The following is a 14691-nucleotide window of genomic DNA, read 5'->3' as shown; positions in this document are numbered from 1 at the left end:
TTTCTTAGGCCCTGTTAAAATCAAAAATTTAGCTGAATGAAATTTAAGGGAGTTTAATTGTGTAGTGAATGATTCACTAATTGGGCAGCCCCCAGAATCACATCAGATTCAGAGAAATTCCAGTGCAGCCACATGGTGGAAAAAAATTTATTGACAGCAAAAGGAAAGTGACATACAGAAAATGAAGGTGAAGAACAGAAACAACTGGATTGGTTACAGCTTGGCATTTGCCGTATTTGAACACAGTTTGAACAGTTGGCTACATTTGATTGGCCAAAACTCAGTGATTGGCAAAGGTGTGAGCTATGGTTGGTTTATACTGCCCCTTATTATAATTCATGATGTACAGAAAAACCTTTAGGCCAAACTTAAATATGTAAGGAGGCAGCTTTAGGCTAAGCTTGATTTAACAGCCCTCAGAGGAAAGTGTACTCTATGAAAAAAGATGCTCATATACTGTTTAGAAGAATGTGTTTTTCCAGTGGCTAAAGATGCATTTGATTTCAAAATTAACAGAATTAAAAAATTGATTTTGCAAAGACCGTATGTGGTTTGAAAGTTAAACTATTCTAATCACATCATATTTTAATTTTGTAGTCATTTGGTCTTATTTCAATGTAATTTTTACTTTTCAAAAAAACTTTTCATCTAATGGCTCCAAGATAAAAAATACATATCTAGAGGAAATCTCTTAGGCAATACTGTATTAGTCTGTTTTCACACTGCTATAACAAAATCCTGAGACTGGATAATTCATAAAGGAAAGAGGTTTAATTGACTCACAGTTCCACATGGCTGGGGAGGCCTTAGGAAACTTACAATCATGGCAGAAGGCGAAGCAAACACATCCTCCTTCACAATGCAGCAGAAGAAAGAAGTGCAGATTGATGGGAGAAGAGCCCCTTATAAAACCATAAGATCTCAATCCACTCACTATCACGAGAACAGCATGGGGGAGCTGCCCTCATGATCCAGTCACCTCCTGCAAGGTCCCTTCCCCAACATGTGGGAATTACAAATAGGATTGCAGGTCAAGATGAGATTTGGGTTGGGACACAGAGCTAAGACCATATTATTCCACCCTTTGCCCCTTCCAAATCTCATTTTTCTCACATTTTAAAACACAATCATGCCTTCCCAACAGTCTCCAAAGTCTTAACTTATTCCAGCATTAACTCAAAAGTCCAACTTCAAAGCTCATCTGACAGAAAGCAAGTCCCATCCACCTAGGAGCCTGTAAAATCATAAGAGTTATAGTTACTTCCTGTAAGGTTGGTGCAAAAGTAATTGCTGTTTTTGCCATTACTTTGCACGAACTTAATAGATACAATGAGGGTAAAGGCATTGAATCAGTGCTCTGATTCTAAATGGGAGAAATTGACCAAAAGAAAGGGGCTACAGGACCCATGCAAATCCAAAATCCAATAGGGCATTCATTATATCTTAAAGCTCCAAAATAATCTTTAACTCCAAGTCTCACATCCAGGGTACGCTGATGCAAGAGGCCTTGGGCAGCTCCCACGGCCTTGGGCAGCTCTGCCTCTGTGGCTTTGCAGGGTATACACCCCTTCCATCTATTTTCACATGGGCTAACATTGAATGTGTGTGGCTTTTTTAGTTGCATAGTGCAAGTTGTTGGTGGATCTATCATTCTGGGGTCTGGAGGACAGTGGCCCTCTTCTCACAGCTCTGCTAGGCAGTGCCCCAGTGAGGACTCTATGTGGGGGCTCCAACCACACATTTCCCTTCTGGACTTCCCTAGCAGAGGTTCTCCATGAGGGCTCCACCACTGCAGGAAACTTCTGCCTGGATACCCAGGTGTTTCCATACATCCTCTGAAATTTAGGTGGAGGTTCTCAAACCTCAGTTCTTGACTTCTGTGCACCCATAGGCCAAACACCATGTGGAAGCCACCAAGGCTTGAGGCTTGCCCCCTCTAAAGCAATGGCCTGAGCTATACCTTGACCCCTTTTAGCCTTGGATGGAGCTGGAGCATCTGGAGCTGGACCTGGAGCTGAAAGCAGGGCACCATGTCCCAAGGCTGCATAGAGCAGCAGGGCCCTGAGCCTGGCCCATGAAACCAGTTTTTCTTCCTAGGCCTCTTGGCCTGTGATGGGAAGAGCTGCTTTGAAGGTCTCTGACATGCCCAGGAGTAATTATCCCCATTGTCTTGGCTATTAACGTTCAGCTCTTCATTGCTCATGCAAATTTCTGCAGCTAGCATGAAATCCTCTGCAGAATTTTTCTTTTTTTTGTAATACATGGTCAGGCTGCCCGTTTTCCAAACTTTTATGCTTTGCTTCCCCTTTAAACATAAATTTCAATTTCAAACAACCTCATTGTGAGCATACATAACTGAACACTTTCAGAATCAATCAGGTGACCTCTTGAATGCTTTGCTGCTTAGAAATTTCTTCTACCAGATACTCCAAAATCATTTCTCTCAAGCTCAAAGTTCCACAGATCTCTAGGGCAGGGGCAAAATGCTGCCAGTCTCTTTGCATAGCAAGAGTGACCTTTTTTCCAGTTCCCAAGAAGTTCCTCATTTCCATCTGAGACCACTTCAACCTGGACTTTATTGTCCACATCATTATCAGCATTTTGATCTTAACCATTCAACAAGTCTCTAGGAAGCTCCAAACTTTCCCAAATCCTCTCTTCTTCTGAGTACCCCAGACTTTTCCAACCTGTGCCTGTTACCCAGTTCCAAAGTTGCTTCCACATTTTTGGGTATGTTTACAGCAAATCCTCACTACCTCGGTACCAATTTACTGTATTCATCAGTTCTCACCCTGCTATGAAGAAATACCCAAGATGGGGTAATTTATAGAGGAAAGAGGTTTAATGGACTCACAGTTCCACATGGCTGGGGATGTCTCAGGAGACTTCCGATCATGGCAGAAGGGGAAGCAATCACATCTTTCTCTACAAAATGGCAAGAGAGGAAAGTGTAGAGTGAAGGGGGAACAGCTCCTTATAAAATCACTAGCTCTCATGAGAACTCACTCACTTTCATGAGAACAGCATGAGGGAGCCACCTCCATAATCCAATCACCTCCCACAAAGTCCCTTTCCCAACACATGAGAATTACAATTCAGATGACAATTCAAGATGCAATTTAGGTGGAGGCACAGAGCCAGATGATATTAAATCCCCATGTTACATCCAAATAATCAAACAAAACCATGATAAAAATTAAAATTGCTTATGAAAATGTAAAAGAAATGAAGGAAAAAGAAAGGAAAAAGAAAAAATAGAAGAACAAAAATAATAATACACTAGTTCACTGTATAAAAAATAAAATATATTTTATTCAATGGTAAAGATAAACTAGTGTTATAAATTGCTCAACTTTAATTCTGTTATATTTTATAAGATTTCAATATATAAAATGAGACTGACCTATTTCAACCTTTACTATTTTGCTAAAGAACTATTATATTTCTTGTACAAAATACAGCCAAGGTGAGCTTTTATACATCAAAATGAATTCCGAAAAGGGGACATGCAGTTTTACATTTGCTTTGTTTAGAACAAAAATTATGAAAAAAAGAAAGCTTAGCGAAAGTAGAAAATGACTTTCATAAACAGGAAAAATACCAATTGAATTATACATTCTGAAGAGCAAAATTTCTAAATCTATTTTTCTTATAAAAGAGAATAAATAACTGTAGTAATGATTCTGTAAGATATACGTGTCATGGTACTAAGGAGGTATGGGGAAAGAATAAAAATTTAAAAAAAATAAATAAAAACTGAAAACTAAAATTGGAAAAGTAAATATTAACTATTCTCATATAGAACACATATGAATAGAAATGTATATTACGCTATTCAGGAACACAATTTTACTTTTTCCTGTAGTCTGTCTTTTCTCTTTATTATCTTCAAAGAATTAGATGTTTATCAACAATGGAGTTTCAGAAAGTAGCCCCTATGGGCATCCAATTACTTTCTTCTTCTGCAACCAGCTACTGGAAGATGAAACTTGATTGACAGATAACTCTAGAGTGTAATCCTCCAGGCTCAGTGGTGTTCCTCAGATTGAATCAATGTTAAGACTTTTCCAAGACTCTTCCAAGAACACCCTGGGGGACCCTAATTGAACTCCAGGGGATGGGGCTTAATTCATTTTCAACTCTTGATAGCTCTCAGCCTAAAGAAATCTCCTTAGGCTGAGAAACAGCTTGCAGTTGTAGAAAAAAGTAACAAAAGCCAAAACAGATCTAGACCCCTACTGCATCAGCATATCTGTCTTAATATGCAAGATAAGCTTCATGCTTTTGATAGTGGATAGTGCTATTCCCTCTGCCTGGACTGTCCTGTCTCAGTTCATTTTGACTGCTATAACAAAATATGACAAACTGGGCAGCTTATAAATAACACGAATTTATTTCTTACAGTTCTGGAGACTGAGAAGTCCAAGATCAAGGAACCTGGAACCTGCAAATTTGGTGTCGAGAGAGGGCCTGCTGTCTGGTTCATAGACAGCACCACCTTGCACTGTTCTCAAATAGTGTAAGCAACAAAGCAGCTCTCTGATATCTCTTTTATAAGAGCACTAATGTCATTCATGAGGGCTCTGCCTTCAGGACCAAATTGCCTCCTAAGGGCCCCACCTTCTAATAACATCACATTGATTGGGTTTCAGCATATGAATTTTGAGGGTGATATAGGCCAGGTGAGCCCCCAAATTGAGGCTTTGCCCATAAGTTTACCATCCCTTTCCATGGAAGCAACCTGGAAATTACCATCCCTTTCCTAAAAATTTCTGAATAACCGTCTTAATTTGCATATAATCAGAAATGGGTGTAAATACAAATGCAAAACTACTTCTAAGCTGCTACTCTGGGCACAGTACCTATGAGGTAGCCCTGCTCTGCTACGAGCAGTACTTCTGTATCCAAGGGCAAGCTGGTGGTGTTAGACATCAACTATTATTGATGCAACACTGTACAGCAGTAGCAGAGATACTGCTCCTAGCAGAGCAGAGCTACTCAGAGGCAGTGTGCTCAGAATATCAGCCTAAAATTAGTTTTGCAGTTGTATTTATACACACTTTTAATTACATGCAAATTAAGAGGCAGGTTATTCAGAAATTTTTAGAAAAAGGATGGTAATTTCCAGGTCACAGCCATGGAAAGGGGTGGTAACTTCTGGGTGTTGCCATGGTAATAGTAAACTGATGTGACACTCGTGGACTTGTCTCAGAGAGAAGTGCTTTCACTTCTTCCTTGTTTCAATGACTATTCAGTCTTGTGCAGAATTTGAGCCCTATCTCTGAAGTCACCTCAGGGAAACACAAACATTCAGACTATAGCACTCATACACAAGATGAGCTTCTTGGTTTTGGTAGTGGATACTGCTACTCCATCTGACTGGAATGTCCTTACTGTTCTCTGTTTCTTTCTAAAATTCTGCATATCCTTTAAAGTGTACATCTAAAGTCACCTTCCCTGAGAATCTTTTCCTAGGCTCCCACATCATCCTCTGAGTTTGCAGACTGTTTTATTATGGGCACTTATATTAGGTCTTCTATAGTAAGTGTTTGCTTATTTATTTGTGACAGCATCATGAAAAGGAAAGTGTAATTTCTTTTCTCTTACATATCCTTTTTTGTACTTACAACAGAGGGCTCAGTAAGTCCAATATGAATAAAAGTATTCTGGCCCAATTCATCAGACATCTCTATGTCTACTTCCTTTTATATAGAATGTGAATAATAAATTATGTCTCAGGGAAAATTGTTTTTGGGATAACCAAACATGAATGTGTTTTAGAATGTATGTAGTTTGAGGCTGTATATAAATATCAACCATAAATAAAAAAACAAATCACACATAGTATGTTGTATTCCACTTTTGTGAACTTTTATAAAATGAATTGGATAACACCAGAAAAGAGGTCCTGGGGTTTCACTACCTGCCTTGATAATCTGTAAATTATAAGATGGGACTCACTGTTTACTGGGAGTTGTAAAAATTCCTCCTGGGTCTGACTCACTGTGTCTCCAGATGTTTAGAAAGTACAGATATGCCAGGCTTGTAGGAACACAGCACAAGTATTTCCCAGTCCAGCTACATTTTAGCTTCTGGAAATGGCTCTGAGAGTGAAATTAGCATACGGCCAATTTGCTGGATGCCCAGAGGTTCCTGGATCATGCTGATACATCTTTATCTACTCATTAGCATTATGGCCTGAAATTTGGTTTTCTTGAGTTTATGCCTTTTACTCTTGAAGTATTGTAGATGAACAGTTCATTCACATTAAGCTTCCCTTTCTCCTTTGACAAAATGGGTTAATCAACACTAAACTACAAAATATATGTAGTAAATATCTTGACCTGCATCCAATTATATGTAATTTGTTCTCAATGGGCCAGGAATAGAAAATGACCTTCGCATTATATATACACCTATAGTGTTATTTGTATAGATTTTTGTTATTAATAGAGACACATTTAAGGCAGTATACAAATGTTTTGGTTTTATTATTTTTTATATTCATATAGTCTCTTTCAGGAAAATTTAAATTTAATTTGTCCCCTTAGCATTGACACCAACTTGTTGAACAAGCTTATCTTAATGTGATCTGAATGAAATTAAATTTTGCCTTTTATTTCACATAGAAAAATTTACTCAAGATCAGGTTGTTCAGTTTCCATGTAGTTGTGCGGTTTTGAGTGAGTTTCTTTTTTCCTTTGTTTCTTTCTTTTTTTTTTTTTTTTTTGAGACGGAGTTTCACTCTTGTTGCCCAGGCTGGAGTGCAATGGCATGATCTCGGCTCATCAAAACCTCTGCCTCCTAGGTTCAAGCCATTCTTCTGATTCAGCCTCCCAAGTAGCTAGGATTACAGTCATGCGCCATCATGCCCAGCTAATTTTGTAGTTTTAATAGAGATGGGGTTTCTCCATGTTGGTCAGGCTGGTCTTGAACTCCTGACCTCAGGTGATCCACCAGCCTCAGCCTCCTAAAGTGCTGGGATTACAGGCATGAGCCACTGCGCCGAGCCTTGAGTGAGTTTCTTAATCCTGGGTTCTAATTCGATTGCACCATGGTCTGAGAGACGGTTTTTTATGATTTCTGTTATTCTGCATTTGCTGAGGAGTGTTTTACTTCCAATTATGTGGTCAATTTTAGAATAAGTGCAATATGGTGCTGAGAAGAATCTATATTCTGTTGATCTGTGGTGGAAAGTTTTGTAAATGTCTATTAGTTCCCCTTGGTCCAGAGCTGAGTTCAAGTTCTGAATAACCTTGTTAATTTTCTGTCCCATTGATCTGTCTGATATTGAAAGTAGGGTGTTAAAGTCTCCCACTATTATGGTGTGGGAGTCTAAGTCTCTTTGCAGGTCTCTAAGAACTTGCTTTATGAATTTGGGTGCTCCTCTATTGGGTGCATATATATTTAGAATAGTTAGCTCTTCTTGTTGCATTGATCCTTTCATCACTACGTAATGCCTGTCTTTTGTCTCTTTTGATCTTTGTTGGTTTAAAATCTGTTTTATCAGCGACTGGGATTGCAACCCCTGCTCTTTTTTTGCTTTCCATTTGCTTGGCAAATATTCCTCCATCCCTTTATTTTGAGCCTATGTGTGTCTTTGTATGTGTGTCTTTGCATGGGTCTCCTGAATACAGCACACAGATGGGTCTTGACTCTATCCAATTTGCCAGTCTGTGTCTTTTAATTAGGGCATTTAGCCAATTTACATTTAAGGTTACCATTGTTATGTGTGAATTTGATCCTGTCATTATGATGTTATGCTGGTTATTTTGCCCCTTAGTTGATGTAGTTTCTTCATAGTTTCAATAGTCTTTACAATTTGGTATGTTTTTGCAGTTGCTGGTACCAGTTTTTCCTTTGCATATTCAGTGCTTCCTTCAGGAGCTCTTATAAGGCAAGCCTGGTGATGACAAAATCTCTCAGCATTTGTTTGTCTGTAAAGGATTTTATTTCTCCTTTTCTTATGAAGCTTAAAATTTAGGCAGAAGTAAATAAGTTATTTGAAACCAATGAGAACAAAGATACAACGTACCAGAATTTCTGGGACACAGTTAAGCAGTGTTTAGAAGGACATTTATAGCACTAAATCCCCACAGGAGAAAGCAGGAAAGATCGAAAATAGACACCATAACATCACAATTAAAATAACTAGAGAAACAAGAGCAAACAAATTAAAAAGCTAGCAGAAGACAAGAAATAACTAAGATCAGAGCAGAACTGAAGGAGATAGAGATACAAAAAACCCTTCAAAAAATCAATGCATCCAGGAGCTGGGTTTTGAAAAGATTAACAAAATAGATAGACTGCTAGGCAAACTAATACAGAAAAAAAAAAAGAATCAAATAGACATAATAAAAAATGATAAATGGGATATCACCACTGATCCCACAGAAATACAAACTGCAATCAGAGAATACTATAAACAACTCAATGCAAATAAACTAGAAAATCTAGAAGAAAAGGATAAATTCCTCGACACTTACATCCTCCCGAGACTAAACAATAAAGTTGAATCCCTGACTAGACCAATAACAAGCTCTGAATTTGAAATTGTAATTAATAGCCTACCAACCAAAAAAAGCCCAGGACCAGATGGATTCACAGCTGAGTTCTACCAGAGGTACAAAGAGGAGCTGATACCGTTCCTTCTGAAACTATTCCAAACAATAGAAAAAAAGATACTCCTCCATAATTCATTTTATGAGGCTAGGATCATCCTGATATGAAAACCTGGCAGAGACACAACAACAAAAAAAATCAGGCTAATATCCCTGATGAACATTGATGTGAAAATCCTCAATAAAATACTGGCAACCCAATCCAGCAGCACAACAAAAAGTTTATCCACCATGATCAAGTTGGCTTCATCCCTGGAATGCAAGGCTGGCATACACAAATCAATAAACTAATCCATCACATAAACAAAACCAATGACAAAAACCACATGATTATCTCAATAGATGCAGGAAAGGCCTTCAATAAAATTCAACACCTCTTCATGCTAAACACTCTCAACAAACTAGATCTCAATAGAATGTAATTTGAAAATACTAGAGCTATTTTTTAGAAACCCACAGCCAATATCATACAGAATGGGCAAAACCTGGTTTTGAAAAAATGGAACAAGACAAGGATGCCGTCTCTGACCACTCCTATTCAACATAATATTAAAAGTTCTGGCCAGGGCAATCAGGCAAGAGAAATAAATAAAGGATATTCAAATAGGAAGAGAGGAAGTCAAATTGCTTCTGTTTGCAGATGACATGTTTGTATATTTAGAAATCCCCATCATCTCAGTACAAAATCTCCTTAAGCTAATAAACAACTTCAGCAAAGTCTCAGGATACAAAATCAATGGGCAAAAATCACAAGCATTCCTATACACAAATAAGAGACAAACAGAGAGCCAAATCATGAGTGAACTCGCATTCACAACTGTTGCAAAGACAATAAAATACCTAGGAATACAACTTACAAGGGATGGGAAGGACCTGTTCAAGGAGAACTACAAACCACTGCTCAAGGAAATAAGACAGGACACAAATAGAAAAACATTACATGCTCATGGATAGGAAGAATCAATATCGTGGAAATGGCCGTATTGCCCAAAATGTTATCCCCATCAAGCTACCATTAACTTTCTTCACAGAATTAAAGAAAACTACTTTAAGTTTCATATGGAACCAAAAAAGAGCCCATATACCCAAGACAATTCTAAGCAAAAAGAGCAAAGCTGGAGGCATCACACTACCTGACTTCAAACTATACTACAAGGCTACAGTAACAAAAACAGCATGGTACTGGTACCAAAGCAGATATATAGACCAAATGGAACAGAACAGAGGCCTTAGAAATAACACATCTACAACAATCTGATCTTTGAAAAACCTGATGAAAACAAGCAATAATAGGGAAAGGATACTCTATTTAATAAATGGTGTTGGGAAAACGGGCTAGTCATATTAAGAAAACATAAACTGGACCACTTCCTTACACTTTATACAAAAATTAACTCAAGATGGATTAAAGCATTAAAGGTAAGACATAAAACCATAAAAGTCCTAGAAGAAAACCTAGGCAATACCATTCAGGACATAGGCATGGGCAAAGTCTTCATGACTAAAACACCAAAAGCAATGGCAACAAAAGCCAAAATAGGCACATGGGATCCAATTAAACTAAAGAGCTTCTGCACAGCAGAAGAAACTATCATCAGAGTGAACAGGCAACCAACAGAATGGGAGAAAATTTTTGCAATCTATCCATCTGACAAAGGGCTAATATCCAGAATCTACAAGGAACTTAAACAAATTTACAGGAAAAAAACAAACAACCCCATCAAAAGTGGGCAAAGGATATGAACAGACACTTCTCAAAAGAAGACATTTATGTGGCCAACAAACATATGAAAAAAAGTTCATCATCACTGGTCATTAGAGAAATGCAAATCAAAACCACAATGAGATACAATCTCACACCTGTTAGAATGGCGATCATTAGAAAGTCAGGAAACAACAGATGCTGGTGAGGATGTGGAGAAATAGGAACACTTTTACACTGTTGGTGGGAGTGTAAATTAGTTCAACCATTGTGGAAGACAGTGTGGTGATTCCTCAATGATCTAGAACCAGAAATACCATTTGACCCTGCAATCCCATTACTGGGTATAAATCCAAAGAATTATAAATGATTCTACTATAAAGACACATGCACATATATGTTTATTGCAGCAGTGTTCACAATAGCAAAGACTTGGAACCAACCCAAATGCCCATCAATGATAGACTGGATAAAGAAAATGTGGCACATATACAACATGGAATAATATGCAGCCATAAAAAGGATGGGTTCATGTCATTTTCAGGGATGTGGATGAAGGTGGAAACCACCATTCTCAGCAAACTAACACAGGAACAGAAAACCAAACACCACATGTTCTCACTCATAAGTTGGAGTCAAACAATGGGAACACATACACAGGGCATGGAACATCACAGCCTGGGCCCTTTTGGGGGGTGGGGGGCTAGGGGAGGGATAGCATTAGGAGAAATACCTAATGTAGATGACGGGTTGATGGTGCAGCAAACCACCACTGTATGTGTGTACCTATGTAACAAAGCTGCACATTCTGCACATGTATCCCAGAACTTAAAGTATGATAATAAGAAAAAGAATGTACTCAATGAGTAAAGTTTTCCCCTATCCTTAGATAATATTAGGTGGATCTCAAGGATTCTCTACTCAACTTCTTACTATTAATGAACTTCTAGGTTACAAAAACATTCTCAATTCAGATATTATAATGCCCAACCTGATGAAATAATCATAACTCTGAACCCAAATTGCTATCATTTCACCTCACCAGTTACACGTGGTGGGGCAATAAAATGAACACTTATAGAAAAAGTAAAAACAAAAACAAAATGTCTGGGCCTGCATGGTATAACTATGAGGAGGGGGAAGGCAGAGAGAATTGGAATTTGAGCTCAGCGTGGTGGCTCACGGCTGTAAGCTCAACATCTTGGGAGGCCAAGGCAGGAGGATTGCTTGAGCCCAGGAGTTCAAGACCAGCCTGGGTAATATAGGAAGACTGTCATCTCTACAAAAAAAATCAAAATATTAGCTGCATATGGTGGTGTATGACTGTAGTCCTTGCTTCTCAGGTACTTAGGAGTCTGACATGGGAGGAGGATTGCTTTATCCTGAGAGGTGGAGGCTGCAATGAGCTGTGATCATGCCACTACAGTCTAGCTTATGTAAGAGAGGGAGACTCTGTCTCAATAAAAAGAAAAAAAAAAGAAATAGACTCTTATGATTGTGGTAAAGAAGGAAAAATAAGTTAATTTTTTCTGATATTGGGGTTGCAATGGTTGCTAAGTGAGAAAGAGAGAAGTCTCAGCCTCACGGGGATAGCGAATATTACTCAAAAAAGGAGAGACATGATTTTGAGGAGTGTCACTTCTCTGAGGATGTATTGGGAACCTGAGAGCAGAAGCTTAGAAACATCAACAAGACTACCAACTACTTTCAAATATTTAAGGCAGATCAAGAGGCTTAGCAGACTGTGGAAACAAAGACAAGCCTTCATGGAGGTAGGATTTAAAAGAGCTAAGGAATGCCAGATCCTGGAAAATAAATTTCAGCAGAGAGCAAAGGAAGATACTTTCAGGACATTGCTGGAGAGAAATGCTGAAAAAGATACCAGATAATTGAGAGATCTAGACATGAAGTTTGCTTGAAGAGTTAACTGTTACAAATGTGAGCAACCTGTAAAAGTGGAGAGTATCTGAGGGGAAGCTCAGGCTCAGTGTAACTAACTCTGGGATTGCAAACACAGAGGCTAAGGTAGAGAATAAAAAAAGAAAATTAAACATACACACACACACACACACATATGGCTGGGCCTGGTGGCTCACGCTTGTAATCCCAGCACTTTGGGAGGTTGAGGAGGTGGGTCACCTGAGGTCAGAAGTTTGAGACCAGCCTGGCCAACATAGCAAAACCCTGTTTCTACTAAATATATATATATATATATATAAAATATTTATATATAAATTATATGTATATATATATTTATATATAGATAGACATGTATCTTACATACACATATCTTAAAATTCCTCCTATATGTGTGTGCTTATGTATATGTATATGCATATCACATCTGTGTGTGTGTGGAAGCTAGGGAAGAGGAAAATGATGAGATTAGACCTAGCAAAATTCTGCAACTGTGTTTCAAATTGCAACCTCAAAGGAGGGAGGTAATCTGAATAGGTGGTGGATTTATTTATTCTTGTATTTTGAGAGCTTATTAACACTTTAAGAGAAGTTAACTGAATTCAAGTATTATACACTATGGACATCACTGGCTGGCAAGTCTTAAACATTCAGTCTTTCTTTTTCTTTTATTATCTGTATCATAGTTCACAAATTATACTAGTCTATGTTCTAATTACCGGGGAAATTCTCTTGGGGAAAAAATGGTGGTGACAGTCTAATCTTTGTAAATATGGTAACTGGACCCTTGGATAAATTAACTAATAATATTTGTGAGGGCAGTTTTTACTTACAGAATGCTTTTAGTAGCTTATTTCTAGGTGAAGATTGCACATGGCAAACACAATATATATATATATATATTTATGAAGCATTGTTCTTTGGAGAATGTTGTACAACTTATATACTCTTGTAGTATAAAATGGCACTATTTCATAAATAAAATACTCCCTGCTGTATTAGATGACTAATCAAACCCATTTGAGTCCTCATCTATGACTCTGGGCCAAAAACACAAGTCCATTGTGGAAAGAAAGAACGTGGGATGCAACATGGAATGCCCCAGGCTTCTGCCTTCTTCGTCTCTTCCTCTAAAATAGAGTTCGATACTGGGTAAGATCTATGAAGTGTGGTAATCTGACTGGACAATCCGATCTGATATATTGGTGTCCACTCAGATCACTCAGATTTGTGCTATGAAAATTAATGTCCTTCGGTTCAATGAATCAAAATTTTGGCAAGAAAATTGAATGGATAGAAAATATAGTGAAAATAAAATAGTGGATGATTGCTACTCACCTTAGTATAAATAGATAAAAGATTTGATGCAAATTACTGTAAATGAGTCTTACCAATGGGATTTGGAAGACATAGGCATCAACTAGGATAAATTAAGGAAGTCAATTGATAACAAATGCAAGGCTAAGGAAAATGTGGCAAAAAATTATATTTATTTGCTGCTGTAACAGTTCTAGTAAAATCTATATCAGCACTGTCCAATAGAAATATAATGTGAGCCACAAATGCAAGCTGTATTTATAATTTAAAATTTTCCAGTAGCTCCAGTCACTAGAGTAAAAAAAGGTGAAATTAATTTTGATTAAACAATTAATTCAAAATATTATTCAAAATATTATTTTACCATGTAATCAATATAAAATTTATTAAAAGGCTATTCTATATTAATATCTTATACTAAAACTTTGCAAACCAGAGTGTATTTTAACACTTAGAAGGTGTCTCTGTTTGGACTAGACATATTTCTAGTGCTCAATGTATGCTCAACATATGGCTAGTGGTGAGTGTGCTGGATAGAGCAGGCCTAAGTCTAGATAAAAACAAAAAGAGGAGAGAAAGATGAGAGTATGAGAGTAAAAGATAATTCTGCAGGACTAGTTTTTTCTATCTCTGGATAATGTTCTTATAATTTTTTTTGCTAGCTGCAAGATTTATATTAACCTGCAAATTGAAGCAAATAAGGTCATTGATTAACCAAAAGACTGTATAGGTAGCCAGAGACTAAATTCAGATGACTATATAATGTGAATGCATTCTAGTAAACAACTGATATATTTTTAGAAGTAAATTATAACAGACAACTGTTGAATCATTATTGGTATAGATTCTTAGGTTTAATGATCAGGAGGGAACTTTGCTAATTTTAGATACTATTGAATTAAAGGGATTACTTGGTTGAACACAGATGCCAAGGTGGCTACAAGTTTTTGTGAGCAGATGCATCTACATGGTATGGCAGCTGATCTATTGCTGTGATTTAGGTGCTGGTTGAACAGACCTAACTTGGGAGGGTAGCAAGCAATCTTACCTTCTGCCCTCTGCCTCAAATTTAATACTCCGTTTTAAGGGTCTGGAATACTATTTGCACAGGTAATCTGAGACTATACTTTTTTG

The 14691-nt window shown here is 37.6% G+C and overlaps 1 annotated feature.

The window, feature by feature from the left end:
• Nucleotides 1711-1911: a silencer, noted in NCBI's record as "peak5878 fragment used in MPRA reporter construct". NCBI's record gives its function as "represses an SCP1 promoter by STARR-seq MPRAs in K562 erythroleukemia cells {active_cell/tissue: K562}" and the evidence as "EXISTENCE:reporter gene assay evidence [ECO:0000049][PMID:32103011]".

Source organism: Homo sapiens, chromosome 6 (assembly GCF_000001405.40).
Source record: "Homo sapiens chromosome 6, GRCh38.p14 Primary Assembly".
NCBI lineage: Eukaryota > Metazoa > Chordata > Mammalia > Primates > Hominidae > Homo > Homo sapiens.
Note: the sequence above shows the minus strand (reverse complement) of the source record. Positions and strands in the feature narration are given on the sequence as shown.